General features: G+C 43.3%; 1 protein-coding gene across 2 annotated transcripts in view, besides 2 other annotated features; it reads right to left on the bottom strand.

Annotated features, from left to right (window-relative positions):
- Positions 1 to 16,948, bottom strand: part of UCK2 (uridine-cytidine kinase 2) — an 84,005-nt gene that overhangs the window by 55,274 nt on the left and 11,783 nt on the right. The gene's annotated exons all lie outside the window — the stretch shown is intronic.
- Positions 5,533 to 5,747: a silencer, noted in NCBI's record as "fragment chr1:165819835-165820049 (GRCh37/hg19 assembly coordinates)". NCBI's record gives its function as "represses an EF-1alpha promoter that drives an FKBP-Casp9 reporter gene in an ReSE screen in K562 erythroleukemia cells {active_cell/tissue: K562}" and the evidence as "EXISTENCE:reporter gene assay evidence [ECO:0000049][PMID:32094911]".
- Positions 13,290 to 13,476: a silencer, noted in NCBI's record as "fragment chr1:165812106-165812292 (GRCh37/hg19 assembly coordinates)". NCBI's record gives its function as "represses an EF-1alpha promoter that drives an FKBP-Casp9 reporter gene in an ReSE screen in K562 erythroleukemia cells {active_cell/tissue: K562}" and the evidence as "EXISTENCE:reporter gene assay evidence [ECO:0000049][PMID:32094911]".

The following is a 16,948-nucleotide window of genomic DNA, read 5'->3' as shown; positions in this document are numbered from 1 at the left end:
AATTAATGTATCAGACGGTACTTAGTACCATAATTTGGCTACTGCTTCAATGGGCCCCACTCAGCTTACTAGATATCAGAATTCAAAGAGAAGATTCAAGCACTGGCTAGGCCACTGATTAGCTGTGTGAGCTTGGGAAGATACTTTCATTTCCGGGCCTTAGTTTTATCATCTGAATGCAGACATATGTATCTTATAATATGTAATAAATGTTTTTTATATATACAGATATAGAAAAGATAAAACCTTCTACACTGGAAGACACACATCATTTTAACATGGGGAAATTCTTTATGGTTTATATATATTTTCATACCTATTTTCACATTTTATTCTCACAACACTCAGATGCTATAGACAGCACAGATTCCCAACCGCTGGACCAGAGATGATCAAAAACCACAGGTTAGTCAATCTGCACCAGGGCGTAAAAAGGCCAAGCAGAGAATAGATTGTGTATTTTGATTTCTCTACTCTGCAACTATTCCCAAGGTTTCACATTGGCCAGGACAAGGAAACAGGGTTCCAACTCTCCAGAGGGCCAGGCTGGCTCTGTGACGATGCACACCCCACGTCCCCACCCCACATCCACCTGTGCTCCTCGAATATTCATGTTCCCCATCACAGGTAGCCCCAGCTTCTACACACTAGTCAGACACAGCGACTTCCAGCAGCTCACGCACAGCAAGATTCAAGTAGCACATATTCTACTGCTCTGCACATATTCAGACACCAACAGAAACCCGGGAATGTCCAACTCAGCTGGCTGAGATGTTATGTGGGTCTCAGTCAGCCCAGACAGAAGGAGCTTGCAAGAAAAAAAAAAAAAAAAAAGAAAAGAAAAAACTGGGAAGTGACCGAATATATATGTAAAAACAGTTTTACTTCCTACCACGATGGATTCTGGGCCCATTGAAATGTGTTAAAAAAACTGTGTGAGCTGTCCTGAAACAAAATGTAAGGAAGTAGAATCTGTTGCTATATATAAGCACCTTATTTGGGGACATCTTTGCTGCAAAATAAATGGAGATTCAGACAAGAACTAGGAATAGGTGTTTGTGGAATGAATTAAGAAAGCCTAATACATTATATAACTCCCCTTCACATACACAAGAGCTACCTGGACCTGTCAATCACAATCTATGTCATTCTAAAGGTAAAGTCTTTTTCATTTATTTTATAAGCATCCATCTTTCCAGGGTAGGATAGTTTAAAACGAAGGTGGGTGGGAGAAACATAGGCTGGCTAACCATCTGCACTCCTTACAATTTAAGGCTGAAAATGTAGCAATGGTAATTTTCCCCCAGTGAGCTACTTTACAGAATATGTCCCTCTCTTTTCAGTGTCATGTGTACAAAGTATCTAGAAAATTATTTATTATACCTTCGTATGGGAATTTATTTAATTATTCAAACCCAGTTAAATTCTTCTCAGTTATGTTCTCCTACAGTAGGGTTCTGTACGAGTTGGGGATTGGCAGGAAAAACAGAAGTATAAAGGAAAGATTTAGAGGACCAGAATAAAGCATGGAAGGTAGTATTCATGGACTAGAAAAGATATGGTGAAGTAAGATAGGAGTTAAGTGGGAAGAGTGGGGGAGCTGCTTCAGCGTAAAGGACTGAACAAAATCAGAACAAACATAGGAAAAGTCAAATACAGATTTTTTTCTAATCTGAAGAGATCCAAAAGACACACTCACTTTATTTATTTATTTATTTATTTATTTATTTATTTATTTATTTATTTTTAAAAAAGGAAGCCTAGTTAGCAATGTACAGTCTAACTCTAGAAGACAGGGCTGGGGGCTGCGGAAGTGGGACCCAGTTCCCTACTACACTGGTCAGGCTGGCAATGGCGCCTTATGCTACATGTTGGTTCTCTGCAGTATGTGACTAATCAGGTCCTACAGCAAAACCAGGGAAATCGGTTTACTTCCCCATGGGACACCCAAGAATCATCTGAATGAGGTTAACTAATATCCAAGGAGCAGACATAATTTGTTCTCCATCCCCCACCTAGTGTGGCAACACCAAATACCACACATACGTCCAGCAGCAGGAAGTAACACACAGGCAGGAGTGGTTTCCAACTCCCAGACAGTCTTTTTGTGTGAGATCACACAGACGTTCTCAGCCTGCCACTGTGCTCTGAGGTGCCTGGTGAAGCCACTCCAGATCCCACTGCTCCAATGCTTCCTATGCGCTCAGAAAGTCTCAACAGGCATTCTGCCTCACAATCTGAACCCCAAAATGAGAGGAGATAGGAATGGCACCTAAAGTTTCTCAGACTTCCCAAAGAGCATGGACTTCTGACTACACAGATCTAGTTGAAAGAACTGGTGAACATTCAGCATCCAAGAATCTAAAACTGTTAACTGTTAAGAAAGAAATTTTGAAAGATGAGGTCTTTATATTCTAGCAACAAAATACAGCTGCTCCCATGAGTGGACATTCCAAAAGCCCTTGAGTGTCTATCCAGAGCCTTACACTTAGGGTAAGTTAAGAGTTCTAGGGAAGATAACTCACTTGTCTCCAGTTGTGAAATACTCAAGAAGGGAGATAGAATTACAGCACAGAGATAAGAATGAAAAAGATGCAGGATAGCAATAGTACCTAAACCTGGTAATACTAGGGGCCCGAAACAAATACTTTTCATTATTTTCATGGGTCATAAAGCATCAAAGGATGGAAAGAGGAACACTCTATGAAATACATTCTGGGTAAGGATGATGTTTAGTGAGGGAAGCACTGAGGTGAAGAAGAACTTAACTCTGAGGTTTAAAATTCCTTTCTGGATAAAGATCCTTTCCGGAAAAAAAAAAAAAGATCCTTTCTGCAAACACCTGGTTGGAGCGGGGGTGGGTGAGAGAGAACCCACTAGATTTAGCAGAAAGACATTAATACTTGGCCTACTTTTTAAAAAATAAATATTTGACATATTTGACATGGTGTTTTTGGAATTTTTTTTAAATGAAAACAAAAAAAAAAATATCAAATATGCCTGACAAGTGAAGGGTAGGAAATGCAATAGGGAAATATATTTCTCCTTTCACTTTGCAAATAAAGGTGGGCATTAAAATCACTGAGATGATCTGCTCTTCCCAGCACCCAAATTTTCCCCCATCTCTGATTAGATTTGGGAGAGGCCTCATCAGTAGGTTCAGCTCTTTGTGGGGCCTCTCAGCACTAGCGCTAAAGCCTAACAGCAGCCCAGCATTAAAACCTGTTCTCTATGACACATATGATTCTACAAAGCTCCACTGGAAGGCGGCCCCTTGGAGCTCACACAGAGGAAGGATCAGGCCTTGATATTCACATGACAAGTAATCAAAGGGGCAACTTAGAAGAAAAGAAACCAGAGCCAGGGCACCAAGAGAGGGATAAACTTGGGAACAATAACCTTTAAGGGAAGATCACTCTTTGATATTTATTTGAGAGATGTTTGACTATCCATTAATCATAATATCCAAGTAGTTTCCATAGAGCTGTGGCAACACTTCCCATGCTATCTATTTCCCTGCACCGTTTGTCCACATACCCACCCATTCTTTCTCCTTTCTACCCAAATAACAAGACACCTCCTGTCCCAACTCCAGAAGAAAGAACTTATATAAGGAAGGATAGATGAAATGCTAAGAGGCAGGTTAAGGGATGTGTTCTATGGGACTAAATATATGGGTCCCCTGCTCTGGAAGCCTTTTAAAAACCATAAGCACTAATTTACATTCCTACCAACAGTGTATAAGCATTCCCATTTCTCCACAGTCTCGTCAGCATCCACTGTCTCCTGACTTTTTAATAATCGCCATTCTGACTGGCGTGTGGTGGTATCTCATTGTGGTTTTGATTTGCGTTTCTCTGATGATCAGTGTTGTTGAGCTTTTTCTCATGTTTGTTGGCCACGTAAATGTCTTCTTTCGAGAAGTGTCTGTTCATATCCTTTCTCCACTTTTTGATGGGGTTGCTTTCTTCTTGTAAATTTGTTTAAGTTCCTTGTAAATTCTGGATATTAGACCTTTGTCAGATGGGTAGATTGCAAAAATTTTCTCCCATTCTATAGGTTGCCTGTTCATTCTGATGATAGTTTCTTTTGCTGTGCAGAAGTTCTTTAGTTTAATTAGATCAACTTTATCAATTTATCAATTTTGGCTTTTGTTGTAATTAGTTCAACCATTGTGGAAGACAGCATGGTGATTCCTCAAGGATGCTGAACCAGAAATGCCATTTGACCCAGCAATCCCATTACCGTGTATGCACCCAAAGGAATATAAATCATTCTACTATAAAGACACATGTACACATATGTTTACTGCAGCACTATTTACAATAGCAAAGACTTAGAACCAACCCAGATGCCCATCAATGATAGAATGGATAAAGAAAATGTAGTACATATACTCCATGCAACACTATGCAGCCATAAAGATCATGTCCTTTGCAGGGACATGGGTGAAGCTGGAAGCCATCATCCTCAGCAAACTAACACAGGAACAGAAAACCAAATGCCTCATATTCTCACTCGTAAGTGCAAGTTGAACAACGAGAACCCATGGACACAGAGAGGGAAACACACACCAGGGCCTGCTGGGGGTAGGGATGAGGGGAGGGAACTTAGAGGACGAGTCAATAGGTGCAGCAAACCACCATGGCACACGTATATCTATATAACAAACCCGCACGTTCTGCACATGTATCCCATTTTTTTCCTTTGTGTTAGAAAGAAAAAAAAAATCCATAAGCAGCTTCAAGCCTTGAGCCCTGAAACGGTTACATTTTAATAAATATTGCAGGGGTCGGGGAGTGGCATGCACAGAGTAGCAACAGTAGCTTTACCAGCTTGACTTTGATTCTCATCAGGCTATAAGGAGGTCTTTCAGAATGTTAAATTAGCCAGACTATCTACACAAGGTACTCAGGTTGGGCTGAGGGCACTCCTATTAACCACATCCAGATCCAGGAAAAAAAAACATGGGCACAAAATGAGGGCTTCCAAATAAATGTTCAAAAGAAAGTAGACAAAGGCAAGAGGCTGAGAATCTGTGCTTGTGGGCGAAGCCAGGAAATAAGGATAAACCACAGAAAGAAAAACCATCATGACAATGTGCCTTTCACAACCGTCTTTCTCACTACTGCTGCCCCTGGGGGCACATGATCTCAGACACACCCAGGTGCACTGGACCAACTCTAAAGACAAGACAGAGATAACAGGGGGAGCAGAATCTCCAGTCTGCCTTCCCAAGATTCACCCTGTGTGACCTGGAGGGGACTTCACAGGCTGATTAAGCTGGGTGCACTGGCTCACACCTGTAATCCCAGCACTCTGGGAGGGCAAAGGGGGAGGATTGCTTGAGCCCAGGAGTCCAAGCAACATAGCGAGACCCATTCTCTATTAAAAAAAAAAAAAAAAAAAAAAAAAAATTTAAAGGCCAGGCGTGGTGGCTCACGCCTGTAATCCCAGCACTTTGGGAGGCCGAGGCGGGTGGATCACGAGGTCAGGAGATCAAGACCATCCTGGCTAACACGGTGAAACCCCGTCTCTACTAAAAATACAAAAAAAAAATTAGCTGGGTGTGGTGGCGGGCGCCTGTAGTCTCAGCTACTCGGGAGGCTGAGGCAGGAGAATGGCGTGAACACGGGAGGCGGAGCTTGCAGTGGGCCAAGATCTCGCCACTGCACTCCAGCCTGGGCAACAGAACCAGACTCCACCTCAAAAAAAAAAAAAAAAAAAATTTAAAAATTAGTCGCATGTTGTGGCATGTGCACCTGTAGTCCCAGCTACTTGGGAGGTTGAAGCAGGAAGATGGTTTCAGCCCAGGAGTTCAAGGCTGCAGACAGCTGTGATCATGCCACTGCACTCCAGCCTGGGCAACAGAGCAAGACCTTGTCTCTAAGAAAAATTTAAAAATTAAAAAATAAGGCCGGGCACGGTGGCTCATGCCTAAAATCCCAGCACTTTGGGAGGCCAAGGCAGATGGAACACTTGAGGTCGAGAGTTTGAGACCAGCCTGACCAACATGGAGAAACCCCATCTCTACTAAAAATACAAAATTAGCCGGGCGTGGTTGGGCATGCCTGTAATCCCAGCTTCTCGGGAGGCTGAGGCAGGAGAATCGCTTGAACCCAGGAGGTGGAGGCTGTGGTGAGCCAAGATCACAACATGCACTCCAGCCTGGGTAACAAGAGCAAAACTCTGTCTCAAAATAAATAAATAAAAATAAAAACAGTTTTTTAAATGAACAAAGGCTGTTTAATTCAGTCTCCTCAACTTAGATCTAAGGAAGGTGTCTTCTCTGGGACACGTAGCGATCTCAAGTTCTTCTCACTATTTCATACCATTTCTGGGTCACTCCAGTCCAAACTCTTACCTGTTAATCCAGTCACTCTCTGAGTAACAGGTGTTATTAACTACACCTAATTTACAGAGAAGATGACTTGCCTGTAGCTACTCAGCAAAACCTGTTTAAGAGCTGGGTGAAAAATGTGGAGTCAGGCACCACACCAAGAACAGAAAAGAAAACTACCTTGAGCAAGAAAACCCTCTGCTACTCATTCCAAGAGACAGATTTTTCCTGCCTAAAATGAGCTTCTCCATTTTCGCAGGTTTTCCAGATTCCCTCACTACAATCACTCTCCAAAATTGGTTCCTAACTTCCAACACAAAAAGTTTAGAGCCAAAAATGGAAAAAGGAACTCTGTTTTAAGCAGAAATTTCATGTTTCTCTATGCAGGCTGGAAGCTGGCATTGTGTAAAACTATAATTAGTGCCCTAGCACTGGCTTCCTCAGGAGAAAAAGGCTTGGCCTTCCTCATCTCACTTCACCTCTGGCCCACTGCCCTGTCCACCATCCCTCTCAATCTTAGAGGCCAGAACGCCCTAGACCAGGCTTGCTTCAGGACAATTTCATTGACTGCAGCCCCATAGAGAAATCTGCTGTGGTCCCGAGTCCACTCTTTCCCAGATCGGAGCCCACGGTTGTGCCAAGCACTACATAGAGACAATGTTTTGCCTCTCGGTCAGGTTCTCAGAACAGAAGCTCTCCACCACCTGACCACCTCCACCTAGTTCATTGGTAAACACCTGAGATCCACAAAACCACAACTCCCCCTTTATCCTTATGCTCTGCCCCTTCCCCCACTCTGGGTAGACTGTACCAAGGAAAACTAAATCAATACTGACATTCCAATTATTAGATCAGCCTAATCCTTTTGTTGAGTGCACTCTTAAGAAACCTCTGCTCTTCCCTACTATATTTTTTAAGAAATGGCGTTTCACTTTGTTGGCCAAGCTGATCTCAAACTCCAGACCTCAAGCAACCCTCCCACCTCAGCCTCCCAAACTGGGATTACAGGCCTGAGCCACCGCACCCAGCTCCATCATTCTTACTTTTCATAATCATATTAATTTGCCTTTTCCCACATCTGGCTCATTTTGTACCAAATCCAACTAGGTTGTCCCATCTGAGTGCTTTCCTATGACCCACCATGTTTTCTGAAATATGGTGGGCTTATTTCTATGGGTAGAAACTTAAGGTTTTCCACCCACAGATGACAATCTAAGAATAAAGACGTGAAGGGCAGATAGTATCAAAAGCTGACACAGATAACAGGTCATCTATTTGTATTCCAAACTCCTCATCTATGGATGTAAAGCTCAGGGGGTTTTTGGGGGTGTGTGTGTGTGTGTGGGTGTGTGTGTGTGTGTGTTTTGTTTGGAGACAAGAGTCTTGCTCTGTCATCCAGGCTGGAGTGCAGCAGCATGATCTCAGCTCACTACAACCTCCGCCTCGGTGGGTTCAAGCGATTCTCCTGCCTCAGCCTCCTGAGTAGCTGGGATTACAGACACACGCCAATATACCCGGCTAATTTTTGTATTTTTTGTAGAGATGGGTTTTCACCATGTTGGCCAGGCTGGTGTCGAACTCCTGGCCTCAAGCAGTCCTCCTGCACTGGCCTCCCAAAGTGCTGGGATTACAGGCGTAAGCCACCACACCTGACAAAAGCTCAACGTTTCTTCAAGAAGTTCAACCTCCACCAATATTTTCTAAGAGTCCAGACTGCTTGTACAAACCAGTAAGGTAAAACTGAGCATCTGAGGAGAAAAATGAGCAAGTCATAAAATAAACCTAAATAAACTGCAACCACACAACAACCTTTAACTTCACTCATAACTAAAGTCAATAAACAATATTTCACCCAACTTTTTCAACTCAGGTTAGCAGTTAAAATGTTCATATGATCATTATGTTAACACTAAATGCCAATTTAACCAAAACTTCATATAATTGCATCAGAAGATGAAGAAAAGTGTAGGGAAACAGGAGGTGTCACTTAAAACCTAATCTTCGGCTGGGTGCAGTGGCTCATGGCTGTAAATCCTAGCACTTTGGGAGGCCAAAGTGGGCAGATCACTTGAGGTTAGGAGTTCGAGACCAGCCTGGCCAACATGGTGAAACCCCGAACCCAGGAGGCAGAGGTAGTGAGCCAAGAGTACGCCACTGCACTCCAGCCTGGGTGACAGAGCAAGACTCAGTCTCAAAAAACAAACAAAGAAAAAACCCTAATCTTCAAGCTGGGAATGGTGGCATATGCCTGTAGCCCTAGCTACTCTGAAGGATGAGGCAGGAGGATCGCTTGAGGTCAGGAGTTCAAGGATGCAATGTGCTATGATGGTATCTGTGAATAGCCACTGCACTCCAGCCTGGGAAACATAGTGAGATCCTATCTCTAGAAAAAAATAAAAACCTGATCTGATCTTCTAAAAGAGAAAGTCAATAAAGAAGCTTAACATAGTCGAGGCTGAGGGAGTGATGCAAATTAGGAAAATGTAATTTTTTGAAATATGGAGATAAAAGAAATAGCTAGAGGATTTAAAAGTGGTTGTTTCTTAAAAATGGGCTGGGGTGAAGAAAGAAGGACTACTGACTTTTGGTTACAGGCCTTTCTAGGTGTCATTATTGTTATCAATACCACCACCATCATAAGAGATAATTATTGTCAGTTTTCCATATACCAGAAAACATTTCAATTGCCTTTTCTGAATTATTTATTGTTTTATGTAATCTTTACAATCCTCACAATACAGGCAGGCACTACTTTGGTACCCATTTTATTGATGAGGAAAATTGACACACAGCGAGTAACTTTGCCCAAGATCATTTCACTAGGAAGTGGTACCACTGAGACAGTGTGATTTGTCTTTTTATACCATATACTTTTTTTTTTTACTTTTACCAAAGTAATAACCTATATGTTAAGTTTTTAACAATATACAAGCACACACACACTTCACAGCAGCAGCAGCCTCATTAACTGGCCAGTTAAATGAGGGTGTGAGCTATCTCCACTCTACATGATACAAAGCTCACAAGGGGACAAAGGCAGTCATGACATTGCTGTCACACCACAACATGAGATTTAATATGAACAGGTGCCCCCGCATACAGGCTAAGCCCATACATCCACCTGATGAGTGCAAACCCCTGTTCTTCACTGAGGAACAGTCCAAACTGCCCTCTCTCATTTTATTCCCACTGATATCATTTTCTGGGACTAGGAATAAAAAGGAAAAACATGTTCTAATCCCTAAATCAAGTCAGCTTCCAGGATCCTTGTTGCCAACTTGACAAAGAATACACCTATATCAAAAAGTGTTCGTGCTTATCCTCATCCTGGGATCTGACATGAAACACTCTCCCCAGTGAAATGTGAAATGCACACTTAACTAAATTCTACATGTGGTTTCAGAAGATAGATAGCCCTTCTGACTCCTATCCATGGATCCCAGGCTAATCTAAAAACTCTTGACCTACAGGTAAACTGTCTGCTACCACCAGAGAGAAACAGAAGGAAAGATAAGACTTGACCAACTTCCAGATGTTTTGTTTTGTTTTGTTTTGTTTAAAAAAAAGGGCAGTCTCTTTTTTCTTATCAGCACAGTTATAGAAACTAGGAAAAGACCACAGTCAAAATCCCATACCCATAGGAATTCAATACCTGTAGGAATCCAGGGACATTAAATAAATTTTAAAATGTTGTGGTTTTTTAGAGACAAAGTCTCACTCTACTGCCAATGTTGGAGCACAGTGGCACAATCATAGCTCACTGTAACCTCAAACTACTGGGCTCAAGTGATCCTCCCACCTCAGTCTCTAGAGTAGCTAGCTAGGCCACAGGTGCCACACTCAGCTAATTTTTTTTACTTTCTTTTTTAATTTTCTGTAGAGACAAGATCTCACTGTGTTGCTCAGGCTGGTCTGGAACTCCTGGGCTCAAGTGATCATCCCACCTCGGCCTCCCAAAGCACTGGAATTACAAGCATGAGCCACTGCACCTGGTCAACTTTCTTTGCAGGGCATGACAGCCAGTGAGAACGCACAGAATGCTGGGCACAGTGGCTCATACCTGTAACCCCAACACTTTCGGAGGCCGAGGCAGGAGGATCACTGGAGTACAGAGTTAGATATCAGCCTGGGCAAAAAAGTGAGACTCCATCTCTAAAAAGAATTTTAAAATTAGCTGGGCATGGTGGCACACTCCTATAGTACCAGCTACTCAGGAGGCTGAGGCAGGAGGATTGTTTGGGTCCAGCAAGTTGAGGCTGCAGTGAGCAGTGATCATGCCACTGCACTCCAGTCTGGGCAACAGAGCGAGACTGTGTCTCAATCAATCAATCAATGAACAAACAAACAGAAAACAGCAGCTGCTGTCTGCAGGAGCACCCCCTTCCCCAAAATACTGCTGATGAGACTTAAATATTTCCCAAATCTCAAGGAGACTGATATTTAGCTGATGTAAAACAACTCAGATCCAGTTAATTGTTACACAGCTAAAATAATGTCACACCTCAAGGGACATGCTCTCCAAAGAGTTGCGAAGAAAAAAAGTCTGTTTCCCAAGAGAGGTAACATTCATTTTATAAGTACTACATCTGTGCATAAATATATATTTGTAATTGAAAAGGAAAAGCTTTATGAGGAAAACAAATTACAGCAACTAACCTCTGAGGAAGAGTGCGCCAAGAAGATGTAGGAAAAAAACCAAAGTGCCTTTCCTACCCTCTACCGTGCACAGAATATTTCACCTCTGGTCACCAAAACGTATGGCGATTTCTCCCCACCAGCAACCAATCAATTCATCAGCAGACACCAGCTGGATGTCCTGTAATTCAATTCTGACACGATCTACCTGGAGAGAGCGCCAGATCCCACAGGCTGAGGGCTCAGTCCCCAAGACTGCCCCATACTTCAGATGCCAATGGCAGGTCCCAGGTTGTGACCTGTGCTTCTGACAGAGGTTTTTAAATCAGGGTTCTCATGACCCCTCCTCAGGTTCGATTAATTTGCTAGCTTGGCTCACTGAGCTCAAAGAAACACTTACTTATGTTTACCCATTTATTATAAAGGGAACAATTTATTATAAAGATTATAAAGGAAACACAGGAACAGCCAGATTAAAAAGACGCAAAGGGTGAGGCATGTGGGAAGGGTGCAAAGCTTCCACACCCTCTCGAGGCAGTCACCCTCCAGGAACCCCCACCTGTTCTGCTATCTGGATGCTCATTCAAACACTGTCCTTTTGGGTTTTTATGAAAACTTCGTTACATACGCATCATTGATCACAATGCTGTCATTAGTGATCAGCTCGACCTTCAGCCCCCCTCTCCCTCTCACCTCCCCAGAGGTCAGGGGCATGGGGCTGAAAGTTCTAACACCGTAATCACGCGGTTCGTTCCCTTAGCAACCAGCCACCATCCTGGCTATCCAGGAGCCCACCACAGTTATCTTGTTAGAACAAAAGATGCTCCTATCACCTGGGAAATTCTAAGGGATTTAGGAGCTCTGTTATCACCCAGGAAATTACAAAGGTTTGAGGGTGCTCTGTGTCAGGAACATATTAGAACAAGAGGTTCTCCTAGTGCCCCTATCCACAGGGTTTTAGGAGCTCTGTGCCAGGAATGAGGGGGCAGAGACCAAACACATATTTCTTATTATATCACAGTACCACAGGTGCTGAAGGATTTTATTTTTACTTCTTACTTGGAATACCTCGTGTTCATCCACACTGAATGTCAACTACGAGGAGGGAGCCGTTCTAGGTGCAGGCACTGCAGGAGAAGGCATACGTGCCCTTTCAGGCTTGCACTGAGACTCAATAGAGCAGAGTAGGTTTTTTGGACTCTGAAGCCAAGAGTTTAAATGCCAGCCCCACCTGGCACTCTATACACAGTGGGTACTTAACTCCTTGGTGCTACAGTCTTCCCATGTTGAAATTGGGGATAATTATAGTACCTTACCTGAAAGGGCTGTGAGAGGAAATAAAGGCATTAATACAAATAAAACACTTAGAATAGCACTCAGTATATAGTTAGTGCTCGGGAAGTATTAGCTATTACCAAAAGAAATACATTGAAAAGAGATAAACAATAAACACGTGCAAAATTATTTCAAATGGTATTAGTGATATAAGAAAAAAATAAGGCAGTGGAATCAAGAGAGTTGCAGTAGGCACTCCATTAGTATTAAATCAACATTTTACAAGAACATGTGTTACTTCTGATTAAGAATAAAAAGTGGCAAAGTATGATAAAGGTTGTTCTCCTGTTTTTTAGAGACAGGGTCTCTCCATCTGTCACCCTCAAACTCCTGGCCTCCACAGATCCTCCTACCTCAGCCTCTTGAGTAGCTCCTACTACAGGTGCATGCCACTGCACCTGGCTCATTACTTATTTTTTGTAGAGATGGGGGGTTCTACTATGTTGACAGGCTGGTATCAAACTCCTGGCCTCAAGTGATCCTCCTGCCTTGACCTCCCAAAGTGCTGGGATTACAGGCATTGAGTCATCAGGCATTGAGTCATCAATCCCAGCCAAAAGTTGTCCTTTTTAGTAAGTTAAAAGCCTGTGCCATCCCTCAAAAAACCTGTGGCCTAACGACTTCTTGAAACTCAGTCCTGTCCCTAATTTTTGCCATAAATGTAGGGTTCATTTAAAGATGACTTTTCCCAAAACTATACATGTGAAATTCAGTTTTCAAATCTTAAATTCTGACATGAGAATGAGAAACAAAAAAGACCCAGATGAACTCCCAGGTAATCCAATCTCACAATCATGGTTTAAAAAAAAAAAGGACTTGAATACATTCACTCAAGTATGTTTGAGCAGCTACAATATTCTAGGCACAATGGACAGAGATAAAGACAGTGACCTGAAACTCAGTCTACTGAGAAGAGAACAGTATGGGGTGGTGTCAGAGAAAGAAAAACACAGGATGCAAACCTCAATTCAGATTGCAGTCAACTGACAGAACACTTCCTAGGGGAAGTGACAGCTCAAGAGGTCTTTGAAGGATGAGTAAAAGTGACCACACAAAAGAGGCACATCAGAAGCAGCAGCATCAACACACGTGCACTAGTGTGGAGGTGAGCTCTCAAGAGCTGGGAACTGGAAGTGCTGACAACTCAGGGTTGGGGAGGACCGATAAGGCAAAGAGGGAGTGACAGGAAGCAAGGCTGGAGGGACTAAGCCTCCTGTGGCTTAGCTGGGAGAACAGGATGACAGCAAGACTGAAGGCAAAGAAGAGCTATTGAAGAATGTACCCGACGGACAGGCAACATCGGAGTTGCATTTTTAAAAGATCACTCCAGCAGCAATGTGGAAAATGTTTTGGAGGTGGTCCAGATTGGCAGCTGGGAAATCAGTCAGTGGAGAGTTACCCAGGCAAGAAATATGGATGTGGATTGGGAGGAGAAATTATTTCAAGAGAAATTCAGAAAGCAAGATTGACTGCACCAGGAGACAGGATGGATGTGGGAGAATGTGGAAGTGCAGGAGTGACAGAGATGACTGTAAGGTTTCTGTCTTGTACATCTGTGTGGAGAGAAAATACAGGTAGAGCAGCAGGTCTGTGGCTAGGAACAGGAGGCAGGTATTGTTAGGGGTCTCATTCTGGATAATCATTGGTGAAGAACATGATGTGGAAATGCCCAGTGACAGCTGAATAAATGAGAAAGAAGCCCAGGAAAGGACTCAAGGCAGGAAATACCCAATCTGCGAAGCACTGACAAATGGAGAATACAGAACATGGAGGGGGAAAAAACAGGGAATCAAGAAGGGGATTCTGAGGCATGACACAGCCATAGGCAGAAAAGGGCCCAGAGATGACTGAGAAGAATGGTGAGAGTGAAGAAAGCCAACCAGCCAAGAGCAGTGAAACCAAGAAAAGTTTCCCAGAGGACAAGGGCACTGTCAAGTGTTACAGAAAAGTCAAGGTAAAGAATCTACAGCTCCAACGGGATTTAGAGACTAGGTGATTACTGGTGACTTTAGCAAGAAAAGCTTTAGCATAGTCATTAACACTTTCTGACTCCTCTCCACCTGCGACAACACTTTATGACTGTAGCATTTACTTGGTATTTAGCATACTTTCAACAATCAGACTGAAGCCCTCCCTGTGCACGAGACTGGGGACACAAGAGGGATAACTGACACTGCAGGATCCTGGAATCTAGAGGTGTAAACAGCTAACCATGACACAAGAGAATGACTGCTACAGGAAACCAGTAAAGGGAGTACTACTTAATTCAGTTTGGCAGACGCTTAAAAACACCAACCATGACACTGGGCACTGGGTTAGCACAGATGAGTCAGACCTAAACATACAAGCTCCCTGAGGTCAGGGCCTTTCTCTAATGCACTGCTGTGTTCCCAGCACCTCACAAGTGTCTGACACACTATAAGTAATCAACACATATTTACTGAATGAATGGCTGAATGAACGAAGACATGGACCTTTTCTTTCAGGAGCAGGAAGGGGTGGAAGCTTCAAAAACTGCAATTTGTGACCTGGATTAAAGAAGTAGTACAGGCCAGGCGCGGTGGCTCACGCCTGTAATCCCCAGCACTTTGGGAGGCTGATTGGGGGTGGATCACCTGAGGTCAGGAGTTTGAGAACAGCCTAGCCAACATGGTGAAACCCCATCTCTACTAAAAATACAAAAATTAGCTGGGTGTGGTGGTGGGCGCCTGTAATCCCAGCTACTCGGGAGGCTTAGGCACAAGAACTGCTTGAACCTAGGAGGCGGAGGATGCAGTGAGCCGAGATCGTGCCATTGCACTCCAGCCTGGGTGACAAGAGCAAAACTCCATCTCAAAAAAAAAAAGCAGCAGCAGCAGCAGTAGGATTTTGCTAGGATCATGGAGATTTTTATATTCATTTTATATATATATATATATATATACACACACACACACATACGTGTGCACACACAAATATATATCTCCTGTACAAGGCTAAGTTACTAGAGTCACACAGATATTGGTCAAACACTACCTTGCCTCTAGCAGGTTATCAAGAAACAGTTGATAGGAGAGGTAGCAATGGGAGGGCTTTCTGTGGTGCTGGGAATAATCTATGTTCACCATATGATAATTCATTGAACCGTGCTTTTAGAATTTATACATTTTGCTAGGTGTTCTATTAGTAATTAAAAGGTTTTTTTAAAAAGATGCTAATAAACTGTTTTTTCTCCCCCTAACTACCTACTACAAAACAAGAGACCTTAACTCCTTTAGGAAAAAGGCACAACTTAACTACAGGAAAGGATCGCTAAGGCCTACAGAAAGCTGGTAAGACAAGAATAAGAAACTTCAAAGGTCGACCCAGGAAGAGGGTGCCCAATATCTGACTAGCTATGGGTCTTATCAGCAAAGAAGTAATAACTCACATTAGTCAGTGGGACTTAAACTATAAAGGCTCCTTATCACTATCAATGCCTCCATTCCTGGACCCTGTCAGGCACAGATGCCAGGGAGCAGTGCTGGCTAGAACTGGACGGCAAGACTGACCAAAGATACACTGGAGGGACAAGTTCAAGGGATCGATTGCACCACATGCTGACTATGGTCAATGGCAATGTATTGTATACTTGAAAATTGCCAAGAGAGTAGATTTCAATTGTTCTCACCACAAAAAAATGACTAAGTGAGGTAACAGATATGCTAATTAGCCTGATTTAACCATTCCACAATGTATACATACATTAAAACATTAATGGGCACACCATAAATATATTTTCATTTGTCAATTAAAATCAATGAATAACTATTTAAAAACATTTTTAAAGGCTGACCAGGCCGGGCACAGTGGCTCACGCCTGTACTCCCAGCACTTTGGGAGGCCAATGCCGGGGGATAACTTGAGGTCGGGAATTCAAGACCAGCCTGGCCAACATGGTGAAACCCCGCCTCTACTAAAAATACAACAAGTAGCCGGGCATGGTGGCACACGCCTGTAGTCCCAGCTACTTGGGAGGCTGAGGCAGGAGAATTGCTTGAACCCGGCAGAGGCTGCAGTGGGCCGAGATCGCGCCACACTCCAGCCTGGGCAGCACAGCAGGACTCTGTCTGGGGCGGGGGCCGGGGTGGGGGAAGGCTGGCCAACCAGCCTGTTCTGACAGCACATCTGCACAGAACATGAATCACGGTACCGGCAAGTGACCGGCCCACTGCAGAAGCATTGCTATGTATATACCTCTGCATACATTTTATCGTTTAACCCTAACACCTCTCCAAACCAGACATCATCTCCTTTTCACAGATGTAGGAATAGGTTCAGAAGAAACAGATTAAAAGTGGCCAAATAGGGATGTTAACACAAGCCTGGCTGACTCCAAAACCCACGCACGTTCTCCACTCCATCAAGCTTCCTGGGCTTACCTCAACAAGGAAGCATCTTCTGAACAAACCAGGGATTCTCTATCTTAACTTGAAGTGGACACATTATAAAGCTTCAATTCTATCACACCAAAAAAACACCTTAAACTCCACCAAGACCCAGCAAGAAGAGCCTCATGGCAGGCTAGGACTGAGTTCTTCCCAGAAGACAGGTCTAAAACACAAGCTTTTCCACCTTAACAATGGATGTCTCCTGACCCCTTCCTCCAGAAATCAAATG

The sequence above is a fragment of the Homo sapiens genome, chromosome 1 (genome assembly GCF_000001405.40).
Source record: "Homo sapiens chromosome 1, GRCh38.p14 Primary Assembly".
Taxonomy (NCBI): domain Eukaryota; kingdom Metazoa; phylum Chordata; class Mammalia; order Primates; family Hominidae; genus Homo; species Homo sapiens.
This window is presented reverse-complemented; position numbering and strand designations above follow the sequence as displayed.